This window comes from Homo sapiens, chromosome 7 (genome assembly GCF_000001405.40).
Source record: "Homo sapiens chromosome 7, GRCh38.p14 Primary Assembly".
Lineage (NCBI taxonomy): Eukaryota > Metazoa > Chordata > Mammalia > Primates > Hominidae > Homo > Homo sapiens.
The window spans coordinates 107,665,445-107,680,249 of NC_000007.14; the positions used below are offsets into that span (position 1 = coordinate 107,665,445).

At 38.9% G+C, this 14,805-nt stretch overlaps 1 protein-coding gene across 1 annotated transcript in view, besides 1 other annotated feature; it reads left to right on the forward strand.

The window, feature by feature from the left end:
- SLC26A4 (solute carrier family 26 member 4) overlaps positions 1–14,805 on the forward strand; it is a 56,982-nt gene that overhangs the window by 4,617 nt on the left and 37,560 nt on the right. The window contains exons 4-6 of the mRNA NM_000441.2: positions 6,694–6,804; positions 8,720–8,904; positions 9,501–9,665. Of these exons, the coding sequence (NP_000432.1) occupies positions 6,694–6,804; positions 8,720–8,904; positions 9,501–9,665 (461 nt within the window). The remainder of the gene's footprint in view (positions 1–6,693; positions 6,805–8,719; positions 8,905–9,500; positions 9,666–14,805) is intronic.
- Positions 6,486–6,686: a silencer, noted in NCBI's record as "peak6681 fragment used in MPRA reporter construct". NCBI's record gives its function as "represses an SCP1 promoter by STARR-seq MPRAs in K562 erythroleukemia cells {active_cell/tissue: K562}" and the evidence as "EXISTENCE:reporter gene assay evidence [ECO:0000049][PMID:32103011]".

Here is a 14,805-nt window from a genome sequence, read left to right on the forward strand (position 1 = left end):
CTCTAAGGGCTGTGACATGGTGACACCCTGTGACTCCTGGGGGACAGGAACCATGCCTCATTCATGTTTGTTCAGCAGGTGCCTAGCACAGAGACAGGCACATAATAGATGGTATATTTAGTGAAAAAGATTGAATTGCATTCCTGATAATGAATCTTCTTTATATATAAAAAATGGTGGTTCATGCTCCATGTCTCCCCAGTTTTCATAGACAAGTATCTTATAAGAATTCATTTTGTTTATAAGCATGAGACACTATGCTAAGTAAGAATGTTGCCAGCTATCTCATTTAATCCTCATAACAATCCTGCTAGGTAGGTCTATTATTATTTCATTTTCAGTAGGTGAAAAAATCTATTAAATCTTGCCCAGGGTCACGTGGCTGGTAAGTGGTACAGCTGGGATTTTAATCCGGTGTCTATTGTGTAGTTCCTTACTTTATGGGTAAGATGCTTTTCTAGAAACATTATCTCTATAAAGTTTTCTGTGTAAGGTGAATTTCTGGGAGGTTAATCTGGCTCAGTTACACATCCATTTATCATTCATTCACTTAATAAATATTTATAAACTAATTCTGTAGACCAGGTATCCAGCCATGTGCACTCAGTGGTTCATTAACAGGCACAGGTGCTGACTTCATGGAGCTTTGTAAAATTATTTTGAGGGGTAGGGATGGGAATTAAATAAGTAGATAAATAGAAAAATAATTATAGATTGCAATATCTATTGTGGTGGATTAAATATACTGCAATAGGGATTAATTTGAAAGGTGGATCTTTATTTTTATATTTTTTTGAGACAGGGTCTTGCTCTGTTGCGCAGGCTGGAGTGCAGTGGTGAGATCACAGCTCACCACAGCCTTGGCCTCCTGGGCCCAGGTGATCCTCCCATCTCAGCCTCGCCAGTAGCTGGAACTACAGGCATGTGCCACCATGCTTGGCTAATTTTTGTATTTTTTGTAGAGACAAGGTTTCACCATGTTGCCCAGGCTGGTCTGGAACTCCTAGGCTCAAGTTATCTGCCTGCCTCGGCCTCCCAAAGTGCTGGGATTAGAGGTGTGAGCCATTGTGCCCAGCCAGGAAGGGAGGTCTATTTTAGATATAATGGTCAAGGAAGAACTTACTGAGAAGGTGAAATTTAGTAAAAGACAAGAGAATGAGAAGGAGACAGCCATGTGATAAGCAGAAAAAAAGAGTGTACCAGGTAAAGGTGCAAAGGCCCTGAGGCCAGAAAACTTAGCATTTTCCAGGGAGGAAGAGGAAGAATTGTAGTGTGGATGAGTGCAGTGGGGGAGGGTGAGTAAACCATGAAATAAACTGAGGCAGGACTGGGATTAGGATGAGGTAAGGGAGGCACTCACTCTCAGGATGCCTCTTTAAATATTGTACCCTAGGAAACTCATTTGCCTCACCCTATTCCTGGCCCTGTGGGGATATTGCTGTGAATTAAAGGGAGAATGGGTGTGTCAGCTTGAACCAGATGATGCAGGCTATGAAGAGAGCTGCAAGATAGGAATATATTGTGCAGCAAGAATCACTGACACATAATGATGAGTGTGGATGAAAATCACTGATGCCTCCAAGGTTGTTGGCTTGAGCAACCGGATAGATCATTACATCATTTATCTAAATGGCAAAGACAGGCTGAGGAGCAGGTTTGGGATAGGAAATCAAGTTTCCTTTTGGATATGCTAAGTTTGAGACACAGGGTGAGACATCTAAGTGGAGATGCCACCTAGAGAAGTGGGAGCTACTGCAAGTGTGAAGGTTAGAGGAGAGGTCTAGGCTAGACATAAAAATCAGGAAAGCATTGCTGAAGAGGTGATATTTACAAGAGTGGGAATGCCTGTGATTACCTAGGAAGAAAGGGCAGGTGTAGAAGAAAAGAGAGCCAGAGTACTTAGAAGTTAGGAAGGCAAGGAGAGGGGCAGCCAAGAACCTGAGAAAGCCTGGCGCAGGAAGTTGAAGACAAAGAACAACCAAAGGAATGTGGGATCAGAAGCCAAGAGAGAAGGTTTAAAAAAAAAAAAAAAAAAAAAAAAGCATAGAGGGGCTGAGAGTGTTGAATTTGCCTGAGGGGTGGGGTATGATGAAGGATTACAGACTGCTTTTAAGAAGTTTTGCCATGAATCAGAGGGAGATAAGAGATGAAGACAGAGTGAAGGGAGAATTTGTTTTTCTTAATATGGGAGATACTAGAACGTATTTGTGAACCGATAGGAATGACCTAGTAGAAAGAAAGAGATCTGTGGTGCAAGAAGTACAAGAGAAATAACTAGAAGCAAAGTAGTAAAAAGGGGCAAACGTGGAGGGGTTTGAGAATGGAACTAGGAGAACTACTCCTTAAAGGCAGGAGGGATATTTCTTCCATTTTCAAAGGAAGATAGCCCAAATGGTGCAGATGCAGACGGGTTTGAAATTTTGATGAAAAGTAACTTGGGAGCATCTCATGCATTCTGTGTTTTCGATTAAATGCAGAATATGTCCCTTAACTTTGAGTCTGGTGGAGAAGGGTTTGGGCAGATTGAGGTAAGTAGGGGAGGTTTGAATAGTTGTCTCAAGGAGAGGAAAGGCACACCCCCTGAGGAAATGTAACTGGGTCCCCAGGCAGTGTTGAGTGCCCATCTAGCACTTGTGGTCACACATTTTACATGAAATTGGTTAGCCCAGATGTAGATGCCTTCAGTCCAGTTTATCTAGCTGCTCAAAGGCTCTCATGGATAAGGTAGATGTTTGAGGTCAGCCAAATTGGGGTTTTGCCAGACAAGAAAAGGAAGGAAAGAGAGAGTGAAAAAAGGGAGTTAAGAATATTTGCAAAATTCCATGGAATCTGTGTGGGCAAGGGTGGAAGTGAAGACAGGAAGGTGTGGAGGATAGAGAGAAAGTGGATCGGTTAATTAATTAGAAGCCTCGTGAGCACAAATAAATGTTGCAATAAGGATTCTGCAGTAGATGAGCTGGAAGGTTTGGAGGCTGTAGCTGGAGAGAGGCTCAAAATTCAGATTTTGGAGGTGGTGGTGTGGTTTCCAGTGATGACAATGTCCATGCCACAACCACTGGCTGAGCAGCTGAGTAGTAGAACAACTCCGAGAAGACCAGCTCAGGTTACTGGGAAGCCAGGAAGTTGCTAAGGATGATGGGATCTTTGTGATTTTTGTTATTAAAACAAATTCCCATCAGACAGCAAAAGATCGATGCAACCCTTGTAGTGCTATTTTTATTCACAACTTTAAGGAGTCTGCTGTCTGCTTTCTCCTTTTGACTTTTATGTATTTGTTTGTTTAAACAACAGAAATTTATTTCTGCAACATGAAGGTGCCTGTAGATTCAGTTTCTGGTGACAGCCCGTCACCTTGCTGCGTCCTCACATGGTGGAAGGCTTTACCTTTAGAAGAAATTTAAATTTAATATAAATTTCAACTGTTTATTAGCACCTGCTTTGCCAGTATTTGTCACCATGCTATAAATCATGACTACCAACAGAGAAATTCTATCATTTAAATCAATGGCTCAGATTTCTTCTAATTTTTTTTCTTTTTTGAGACTCTTTCTCACACAGGCTGGAGTGTAGTGGTATGACCTTGGCTCACTGCAACCACTGCCTCCTGGGTTCAAACTATCCTTGTGCCTCAGCCTCCTCAGTAGCTGAAATTACAGGCATGTACCAACACCCCCAGCTAATTTGTGTATTTTTAGTAGAGACGAGATTTCACCATGTTGGCCGGGCTGGTCTTGAACTCCTGGCCTCAGTGATCTTCCCACCTCAGCCTCCCGAAATGCTAGGATTACAATCATGAGCCATCACACCTAGCCCCAGATTTCTTTACAAATTGTGTAATTTTAAAACTGTTGTACCAAGTTTCTTTATAATAAAGATGATTCCAGTATATTTGAGTAGTAGTGGTCCCTAAATGGGACACTCTGTATGAAAACTGAAAAGTTCCCCTTTTCCAGGCATATTAAGAACTGCAGAGCCCAGTTTGGGGAAATGGAAGTTTGAGAAGGACTTGAAAAATGTCCATATGAAATAGACAAGTTGTGCTTTCATCCCCTGCTCCTTCTTTTCTTATCTTCCTTCTGTGGAGTCACCTTCCTATTTTATTCCATGCTGTTGGGACTACTGACTATTGCAATTCCTGTTTGTAATTTACATATTAAAACAATTGTACTAATAGATATATTTTTCTAGAATACAAACTCCACTAGGGCAGAGACTTTGTTTTAACAGTGCCTGACACATGGTAGGTGCATAATCAACTGTTGTTGAATGAATGAATGCTTATTGTAGAAAACTAGAAAATACATATAAGGAACATGAAAAAATACCTCCACTACAAACTAGAAGTCTCCTCTGATCCTACCATACAGATAACCCATTGATATTTCAGTAAATATCTTACTAGGCACATAAATACTTATCTATATAAAAGTATAATGAAATGTCTGGAAATAATAAGCACCAAATTCAGGATAATTGTTGCCTTCTGAGGGTAGAGGGAGGAAAGAGGATGTGATTGAGGAAGAGTATACTGAGAGTTTCCGCTGCATTGGCAGTAATTTATTTCTTAAGCTAGATGATGGATACATGAAAGTTTATTATATTATTCATTGTGTATTGTGTTTCTTGTATATGTAAATTACTTCATATTTTATTCAAAATACCTCCAGATTTTTTTTTTTTTTTGAGATGGAGTCTTGCTCTGTTGCCCAGGCTGGAATGCAGTGGCGCAATCTCGGCTCACTGAAACCTCCGCCTCCTGGGTTCAAGCAGTTCTCTGCCTCAGCCTCCTGAGTAGCTGGGATTACAGGTGCCTACCCCCATGCCTGGCTAATTTTTGTATTTTTAGTAGAGACGGGGTTTCACCATCTTGGCCAGGGTGGTCTTGAGCTCCTGACCTCCTGATCCACCCACTTCGGCCTCCCAAAGTGCTGGGATTACAGGTGTGACTCACCGCGCCCGGTCCCTCCGGCTTTTTTTAATGCGTACACTCCCACAGGCTGGAGTGGGAGTGTATTTTTTACAAAAGAGGAAGCATACATACCTATCAGTTTTGAATCTTGATTTTACTCACTTTTTTCCCTCTTACTTCACATCTCTCCACGTTACTGAATGTACTTCTGAGCATCACATCAATTTCATTTCATAGAATTACGAAGTATGAAGCATAACTTAGTTAACCACTTCCCTGCTTGGGGACATTCATCTGATAAGTAATATTGAGTGTGTGGGGGCCAGCATATTCAGGCTGTTGCCATTTTTAATAAACTACTATAAATGTAATTCCTTATTAATGACTCAAGAGTGAAAAGGCTTGATTTTCTCTCATTGTGAGTGAGTGAAGGGTGAGGAGGTAAAACGGAGTAAGATATGCTGGCTACCTAAGTATTTAACCAAGGAAAAGAATGTCATTATCCTCTTCTAACCCTCATGTAAACTAGAATGTTGATTTCTCTATAGCCAGGCATTAATGGGTCTGGGGGCTGCTGCCATTGCCTAGTGGAGGAGTTGGTCAACTTCATCAGGGTAGAGTTGTCTTGTCTGCTGCTGAGTATAATTATCATATTTTTTCTTTGGGTCTAACTTTTCTTCCCCACCAAAAAAGGAGAAAGGGCAGTGTAACAATGACTGTGTCCCTCAGAACGCAGAGAAATATTGAGCTCAGACACAACTGCCTCTGTGCAAAACTGGTCTGAGCCTTTGGAGTGAATTGACCAAAACTTTTTTTTTTCTTTTTTAGACATAAGGTCTTGCTCTGTTGCCCAGGCTGGAGTGCAGTGGCACGATCATAGCTTGCTGTAACCTCAAACTCCTGGGCTCAAACAATCCTCCTGCCTCAGCCTCCTTAATAACTAGGACTACAGGCGTGAACCAATATGCTGGGCTCATTCATTTTATTGTAGAGATGGAGTCTTGCTATGTTTTCCAGGCTGGTCTCAAACTCCTGGGCTCAACTGATACTCCTGCCTATGGCTTCCCAAAGCACTGGGATTATAGGTGTAGGACACCAGGCCTGACCAAGTTTTTAATCAACATTTGACTTGATTGTTTTTTCCCACTGATCTGATTGGTGGAAGACTGAATTACTGATCAACTGAGTCCATTCATTTGAGCAGGTGATGTTTGTAGATGCAATCATTGTTCCAGGTGATTTGGATCCTGTTCTGCATCCTAGCATAGCCAGTCTGTATGCAAGATAAGGAGACCAACTCAGGACAGGCTGATCTGTTGAAACTGTAAATTGAGAGTATCTGTGTAAAGGCCCTTCTTTCTGCAGTAGAAAGACAGATGCTCCTCTACTTCTCATGAGTTACATCCTAATAACCCATTGCAAGTTGAACATATTTTAAGTCAAAAATGCACTTAATACACCTAACCTATGGAACATCATCGCTTAGGCTATCCTACCTGAAATGTGCTCAGAACACTTACAATAACCTACAGTTGGGCAAAATAATCTAACGCAAGCCTATTTTATAATAAAGTATTGAATATCTCATGTAGTTTACTGAATAATGTACTGAAAGTGAAAAACAGAATGGTTGTATGGTTACTTAAAGTATGGTTTCTACTGAATGCATATTGCTTTTGCATCATCATAAAGGCAAAGTCATAAGTGGAACCATTGTAAGTTGAGGACTTTCTGCATACTGTAACTTTGGTTTGTGAATGTAATCACTTTGCATGTGCTTTCAGGGATGGCATATGCCCTACTAGCTGCAGTTCCTGTCGGATATGGTCTCTACTCTGCTTTTTTCCCTATCCTGACATACTTTATCTTTGGAACATCAAGACATATCTCAGTTGGTAATTATAAGTATATTTTACAATTATATTTGCTCATGTTTAAAGTGTTTTGGCTATATTAAGTGCATTATACCTCTATTAGGTTGGTGCAAAAGTAATTGCGGTTTTCACAATTATACTTTTAATTGTGAAAACCGCAATTACTTTTGCACCAACCTAATATATCTGTGTTAATGTTGTCAGGGAAATGGGATTTCAGTGTTTTGCCTGCTTTTTCTATTCACTGATGTTAGGTAACTTTTTTAATGAAGTGGAAAAATAAAAAAACTGAAAATGACAGCCTACTTTAACATTTTAGCATGTTTTGCTTTTTAAAAACGTGATCAATTTGACTCCATTTTTGGAGTCATAATGACAGGGAAAAAATGACACAAGGTCTTTGAACCTACCATTTTACTGGATTAACTTAGAAATTACTAAGTATGTTCATCAAATACATGTTCATGATTTAATTAAAGAGCATACTTATTTTAAATCACTAATATTAGAAGACTGGCAAAATCTTACCAAAACAATTTAGAAGCTAAGCTTGGCTTTCTTTCTTGGTATGGCTTATAATAAGTTTTCCTGCTATTCCTAAAATTTGAATTCTCGTTTGTTAGAATGTCCTAGTAAATGAGTGTTTTAATGCTATTTTGTGACTTTGACATTTATACTAGAGAAAATTTTGCTCCTACATCCATCTGCTGGCTAGACATGTCTACCTCGATGATCCTCTTGAAATAAATGCAACCATCTACTTTATCCCCAACCCATGTTTTTGTCCTTAGTTGTATTTCCTTAGAAGGAGATCAGAAAGAGGTTTTGATTGAAAGAACTTCCACACCTTGGAGAATCAATCAGTGTTGAGTGCTTGACTAGATGAGGAACATGGAAGCTGGTTTTTCTCTTTGGTATTCTATACATTGAGATATTCCAGGTGACTGGGGTTGGGTTTTGAGACCTCAAAACCATAAAGCCTTCCATGATGAGAGGGTAGAATCATCATCATCGTCATGGATAAAAATAACAGTAGTGAACGGAGCAATTGCTGAAAAAAAAATATTTTTTAAAATATAAAATCTTACAGATTGACATTTGATATGAAAAAATGTTTTGTCTTACAAAAAGAGAAAGAAACTTCATACTCCCTTTGCTGTTTTTTTAATCCTAACTTCGACCCTGTGATATTGATCAAGGTACTCAGATCCACAGAGATCAGGACATTGGACACTCTAGGAAATTAATGAGATTATATGAAATAAAAGTTGAGCGGAACAAGTAAACACTCAATGTATGTGCTACCTTTGCCAGAAAACCTTTCCTGACAACTCTCATCCCTGTCCCCACCACCCATACACATGAGGATCACACACAGACAGGTTAGACGACCTTTTGATATACTCACGAAGCATCCTGAATGTTGTATTCTAATAACTACCTACGTGTCTCTCTCGCCTATTTCTAGGTCATGAATGCCTCGAGATATCTGCGTTTTTAGCTTCTTTTTGTTGTTGTTGAGACAGAATCTGGCTCTGTCACCTAGGCTGGAGTGCGGTGGCGTGATCTCAGCTCACTGCAGCCTCCACCTCCCCAGCTCAAGCAATCCCCCCACCTCAGCCTCCCGAGTAGCTGGGACCATAGGCACGCACCACCACACCCAGCTAATTTTTGTCTTATTTTGGTAGAGATGGGGTTTTACTATGTTGCTTAGGCTGGTCTGGAACTCCTGGGCTCAAGCGATCTTCCCACCTCAGTCTCCCAAAGTGCTGCGGTTACAGATGTGAGCCACTGGGTCCGGCTCAGCTTCTTTCGTGAACAAACAATATTTTCCTAGTCACAGCTAAATCTTTTATACATTTTTTAAACCCTATGCAGACACATTGAACATTTGTGATTAATAACTGATTAATTGTTAGAGACTTTTTTTCCCCAGGACCTTTTCCAGTGGTGAGTTTAATGGTGGGATCTGTTGTTCTGAGCATGGCCCCCGACGAACACTTTCTCGTATCCAGCAGCAATGGAACTGTATTAAATACTACTATGATAGACACTGCAGCTAGAGATACAGCTAGAGTCCTGATTGCCAGTGCCCTGACTCTGCTGGTTGGAATTATACAGGTAATGAACTTACAAGTAAAATATAGATGGATGTAATTTTTATTTGAAATTAACTTTAAAGCATATAGACTTAAAGATTCTACTAAAAACAAAACAAAGTAATTTCCTGGAACCCAAAATTATTTTCTAAATTACGTTGTTTTAGGTCAGGTGCTAAAATAGTAAGCAAGACCCCACTTATTAAGGCTCACTTATCATCAAAGTCAGAGACAGAAAAAAGCACAGAAGAACATGTGTGATTCAATTGAGGATGAGAGAAGGGAAATATACGGGAATCCATAAAGGAGAAAAAGTGTTCTGGTGAGCGGAGACACAGGACCGAAAGCCACATAAATAAGCTCTGGGTTTTTGCTTTTCTAAGTACATGTATAGAAATACTTCAAGGTTTTTATTACACTTAGTTTTCAAATTTTAGAGTGGTGGAGGAAGGGGAGTGATAGGGTATTAAGAAATTCATATTTTTTTCTACCAGTATTTTTGTGCTATAGGCAGGCTACTAGTGTTTTCATTGGTATTAAGCTTGATGTAATATTTCCAGAGAGTAGGTTTCTATCTCAGGCAAACATTTAATTTTTCTTTCCTTTTCCTTATCGTAGTTGATATTTGGTGGCTTGCAGATTGGATTCATAGTGAGGTACTTGGCAGATCCTTTGGTTGGTGGCTTCACAACAGCTGCTGCCTTCCAAGTGCTGGTCTCACAGCTAAAGATTGTCCTCAATGTTTCAACCAAAAACTACAATGGAGTTCTCTCTATTATCTATGTAAGTGTTGCTTCTTGCTCCAGGGATGGGTCACTGTTCATTCCAGAAACAATTGTATTCATTCTCTGAGTCTGGGCCAGGCGTGGTGGCTCACACCTGTAATCCCAGCACTTTGGAAGGCCGAGGTGGGCAGATTGCTTGAGCCCAGGAGTTTGAGACGTGAGACCTCATCTCTTAAAAAAAAAAAAAAAAAAAAAGAAAGAAAGAAAAGAAAAGAAAAAGAAAGAAAAAATCCAAAAATCCGAAAATTTGCTGGGTGTGGTGGTGCACACTTGTAGTCTCAGCTACTTGGGAGGCTGAGGTGGGAAGATCTCCTGAGCCCTGGAGGTTGAGGCTGCAGTGAGCTGTGATCGCCCCACTGCACTCCACCCTGGGTGACAGAGCAAGAACCTGTTTCAAGCAAAAACAAAATCAAAACAAAACAAAACTTGAGTCTGGGAGCACCCACATTTCTTTCTTTCTTTCTTTTTTTTTTTTTTTTTGAGACAGAGTCTTACTCTGTCACCCAGGCTGGAGTGCAGTGGCATGATATTGGCTCACCACAACCTCCACCTCCCGGGTTCAAGCGATTCTCCTGCCTCAGCCTCCTGAGTAGCTGGGATTACAGGCGCCCGCCACCACACCCAGCTAATTTTTGTATATTTAGTAGAGACAGGGTTTCACCATTTGGGCCAGGCTGGTCTTGAACTCCTGACCTTGTGATCCACCCACATCGGCCTCCCAAAGTGCTGGGATTACAGGCGTGAGCCACCGCGCCCGGCCTGGGAGCACCCACATTTCTCTATGCATACTTTGGGAGCCATTGAAAACATTTGGTTGCTTCTGTCAGAAATACTATTGTACTTAAAAACATTAATGAAAACAAAGTGGTCTAATGAAGTAAAGGCTGCTCTGGAATGTAACAGACTTGATTTCTAGCCTCAGCTTTGTCTCTAACAGGTAAGTGACCCTGGATACATCATGTAGGGTGCTAATTGAAAGCTCAGTTTTAGAACTGGATGGACCTTGATTCATATTCTGGCTCTACTGTCTACTAGCCATGTGAGCCAATCACCATGCCTCAGTTTCCTTCTCTGCAAAATTGGGTTAGTAATAGTATATGCCTCATTGGATTGTTAAATAAGAATAGATAAGCACTTGGCCCAGGGGCTGGTACATAACAAGTACTCTAAATAAAGGAGTTATTTTGAAATGATTATTTCAAGCCATCTTTTCTTTTTTATTGGTGAAATGAAATGATTGGAGATGTATCTCTAAAAGCTTTTTCTAACCATAAGAGTCCGTAAAATGCATAATGTAAATGTCTCAACAATTATAAATGAAAAGGAACATTAGATTCAGAGATGATTCACCATGCAAAAGAAATGCAAAAGCAGGATGTAGATCACACTAATTAGATTTGAAAAAGGTTTTGGATCTAAAAATGTGTTCTACATAAAGCATGTTATTGATGCTTGAAAAATGGTGATAATAGTAACATGATGTCATCCTAGCTTGGGGGGAATGATACCATACAAAAATAACGTGTCAACATTAAGAATGGAGTTTGAGTCTTTAAAGACCCACCTATTAGCTTCTAAAACAATGTAAGGCCATGTACACATATCTAAGAATTGGTGAGTATGTCAATAATTGCTCAATTTTATAACGGTGCCATAATCCCATACTATTACACTCCATCCATTCAACAAATATTACCAAGTGCTTACTACAGGCCAGGTACTATGCTAAGCAGTGAGAATAGACAGAGGAGGCAGAATAACATAGTGAATAAGATCATGAGGCCAGGTGTGGTGGCTCATGCCTGTAATCCCAGCAGTTTGGGAGACTGACACAGGTGGATCACTTGATCCCATGAGTTCAAGATCAGCTTGGGCAACATGACAAAACCTTGTCCCTACTAATAATACAAAAATAATTAGACATGCATTGTGGCACGCACCTGTAGTCCCAGCTACTTGGGAGGCTGAGGTGAGAGGATCACCTGAGCTCAGGAAGTTGAGGCTGCAGTGAGCCGAGATCATGCCACTGCCTTCCAGCCTGGGTGATGGGAGTGAGACCCTGTCTCAAACAACAATAACAGCAACAACAAACAAAAAACCAAAAACAAACAAAAAAGATCATGGACTTTGAACTTCAACAGACTTGAGTTGGCATCTTGGTTCTCCACCCACTACCCATGATGTTTATACTCAACTTCCCTAAGCCTCAGTGTCCTCAATTGTAAAATGGGAGTAGTAATAGTAGCTACCTCTTAGAGCAGTGAGGATTGAAAAAGAAAATACGTGTAAGGCACTTAGCACAATATCTGTCACATAGTAAGAATTGAGTTTATTATTATTATTATCACAGATGAATAGACCTCATGAAGCTCGCCGTTCATTTCCTCGGGACCCAGCCTATTAGGAAACATTAGCAAAAGTTTTTGATTCAGCATTATATGGGTCATTCTTGATATGTTTTTTCCTGTCAAATCCTCAGTTTTCTATTAAAAAAGAATTTTTTTTTTTTTTTGAGACAGGGTCTTGCCCCATTGCCTGGGCTGGAGTACAGTAGCACAGTCATAGCTCACTGCGACCTCCATCTCCCTGTGTCAAGCGATTCTTCCCCCTCAGCCTCATGAGTAGCTGGAACTACAGGTGTGCACCACCACACCTGGCTAATTTTCTTTTTCTTTGTTGAATTTTAGTAGAGGCAATGTCTTGCTATGTTGCCCAGGTTAGTCTCGAACTCCTGAGTTCAAGTGATCCTCTCACTTTGGCCTCCCAAAGTTCTGGGATTAAAGGAGTGAGCCACCATGTCCAGCCCATATTTTAAAATTAAAATTAAAATTTTAAGATTTTATTTTGGTAGAGACAGGGGTTTTGCAATGTCGCCCAGGCTGGTCTTGAACCCCTGGCCTCAAGCAGTCATCTTACTGCATGCCTCCTAATGTGTTGGGATTATAGGTGTGGGCCACTGCACCTGGCCAATCCTTAGTTCTTTTTGAGACCTCTGACTGCCTTATTTTGACAGGCTCTGTAACTTTTGCAGCTCCTGGCACATCTTGCTTTTACTTACTTTTACATTTTCTCCATCAAATGTTCACTCATTTATTCCTTCATTCTCATTCATTCAGTTTATCTACTCAATAAACACATATTGAATACTTACCATGTGCCAGGCACTGTTCACTCCCTATACAAACCCAGTGACTCATTAACCTACCAAGACATCTCTTACTGAGTATTCTCACCTCACTGGGCAAACATTGCTAGGCCTTCATCTACACAGATCGCAGGAGGTCCAAACTAATTGTTGACCTGGGTCCATGGCCATTTCAGGACCCCTGCAGAACAGGAGAAATAGTTCTTCTGGTCTCATAGGATTATGTTTAAGAAGAAACTTTCTGCAAATGATTTCACTTTGACAGGGACAAAAGTGAGCAGGAAACACTAGACCAAGGTCAAAAATAGTTTTTAAACCAAGTGCAGTCATTATGTAACTTACTTCCTGTTGAATATTTTTCTTGAAATCTCAGTTTAGCATACAGCATAGAATTTTGCAAGAAACTCCTCACAGGCCACCCAAGTTGGAAAAGGTATTTCAGTCATCCCTATATGGTGGTGAATATAAGTTTGCTCTTCTGAAAAAAAAAAAAAATCAGCAGGTCTGAAAACGATTGCATAGGGTTAAATGAGCCGCTTAGTCTCTGAACAGAGAATTTTGCTTATGACATTACCATTGCAATTATACATGAAAGAATCCTTCAATAAATGCAGAGTAGTAGAGGATTCTCCCAGAAAAGACTGTAAGATTGTTGTAAAATACTTTACCTGGAGTGTTAACTTATCTTTGTTCTAAGGTTGCACTTTGGTTTGTCCTGCCCTCTCCCCCAAAAAGGTGCTGACAACTAGAAGTAACAAATGCAAAGAAATAGGGGAGAAAATATTAGAAGAAAAAGAAATCAGTTAATTTACAAATGTCAGAGATACTGGATGTAGGAGGCAGAAGGGAGAATGACAGGGTATTGGCAGCAATTTAGAATTAGTCAATACCCTTGATGCTACCATGTAGCTACTCAGTTATCTAAGTAAATCCCAGTCCACTTAGGGGTTGATTTCCCACCACTCAATTTGAATGGTTTGTCTCAGTAGACAAGGGTGAGAGCTTTGAAAGCCACCACTAAGCTTGATTAGATTTGTTACTTTGTACCTATTTCAGTATGTAAAATTTATACATTGTATTAAAGTAACACTTTAAGGATTGATCTATACATGTATACACAAAAGATATGGAAGGAAATGCCTGACAGCAAAAGGTGGTCGTGAAGCATTTGTGATATTCGTAGAGATAAAATAAACAAAAATAAATTCAGTTCCAATAGTAAACTGATCAATTTTCTCATACACATTATTGGGCATAATTTTTTCTTACGGTTTCATAAACACAGGTAATCCTGGGCAAGAACAAAGAAATTATCTAAATGAAATTGTCCTAAAATTTTCCAAACACAGCAGGAAATATAATAAAATATTATCTATTACCAAAAAGTTCATTATCATAATTTGAATTATTTGGAATACTAAGCTAAAATACAGAATTATATGTGTATCCATACTATTAACATACTTTATGGTATTTTAACAGTAAACTAAATTAGAAGTACTGTTCAGTGTTTTTGTAGAGTCTAATTTCTATGTCGTTAAATATAATCTTATATTATTATATAATATAATCTTATATTATTATATAATCTTATATTATTATATTATATAATCTTATATTATATAATCTTATCTTATATAATCTTATATTATATGCTCTTATATAATATAATCTTATTATATAATCTTATCTTATATAATATAATCTTATTATATAATATAATCTTATTATATAATATAATCTTATCTTATTATATAATATAATCTTATTATATAATATAATCTTATCTTATTATATAATATAATCTTATTATATAATATATTCTTATCTTATTATATAATCTTATCTTATTATATAATATAATCTTATCTTATTATATAATATAATCTTATCTTATTATATAATATAATCTTATCTTATTATATAATATAATCTTATCTTATTATATAATATAATCTTATAATATAATCTTAACTTATTATATAATATAATC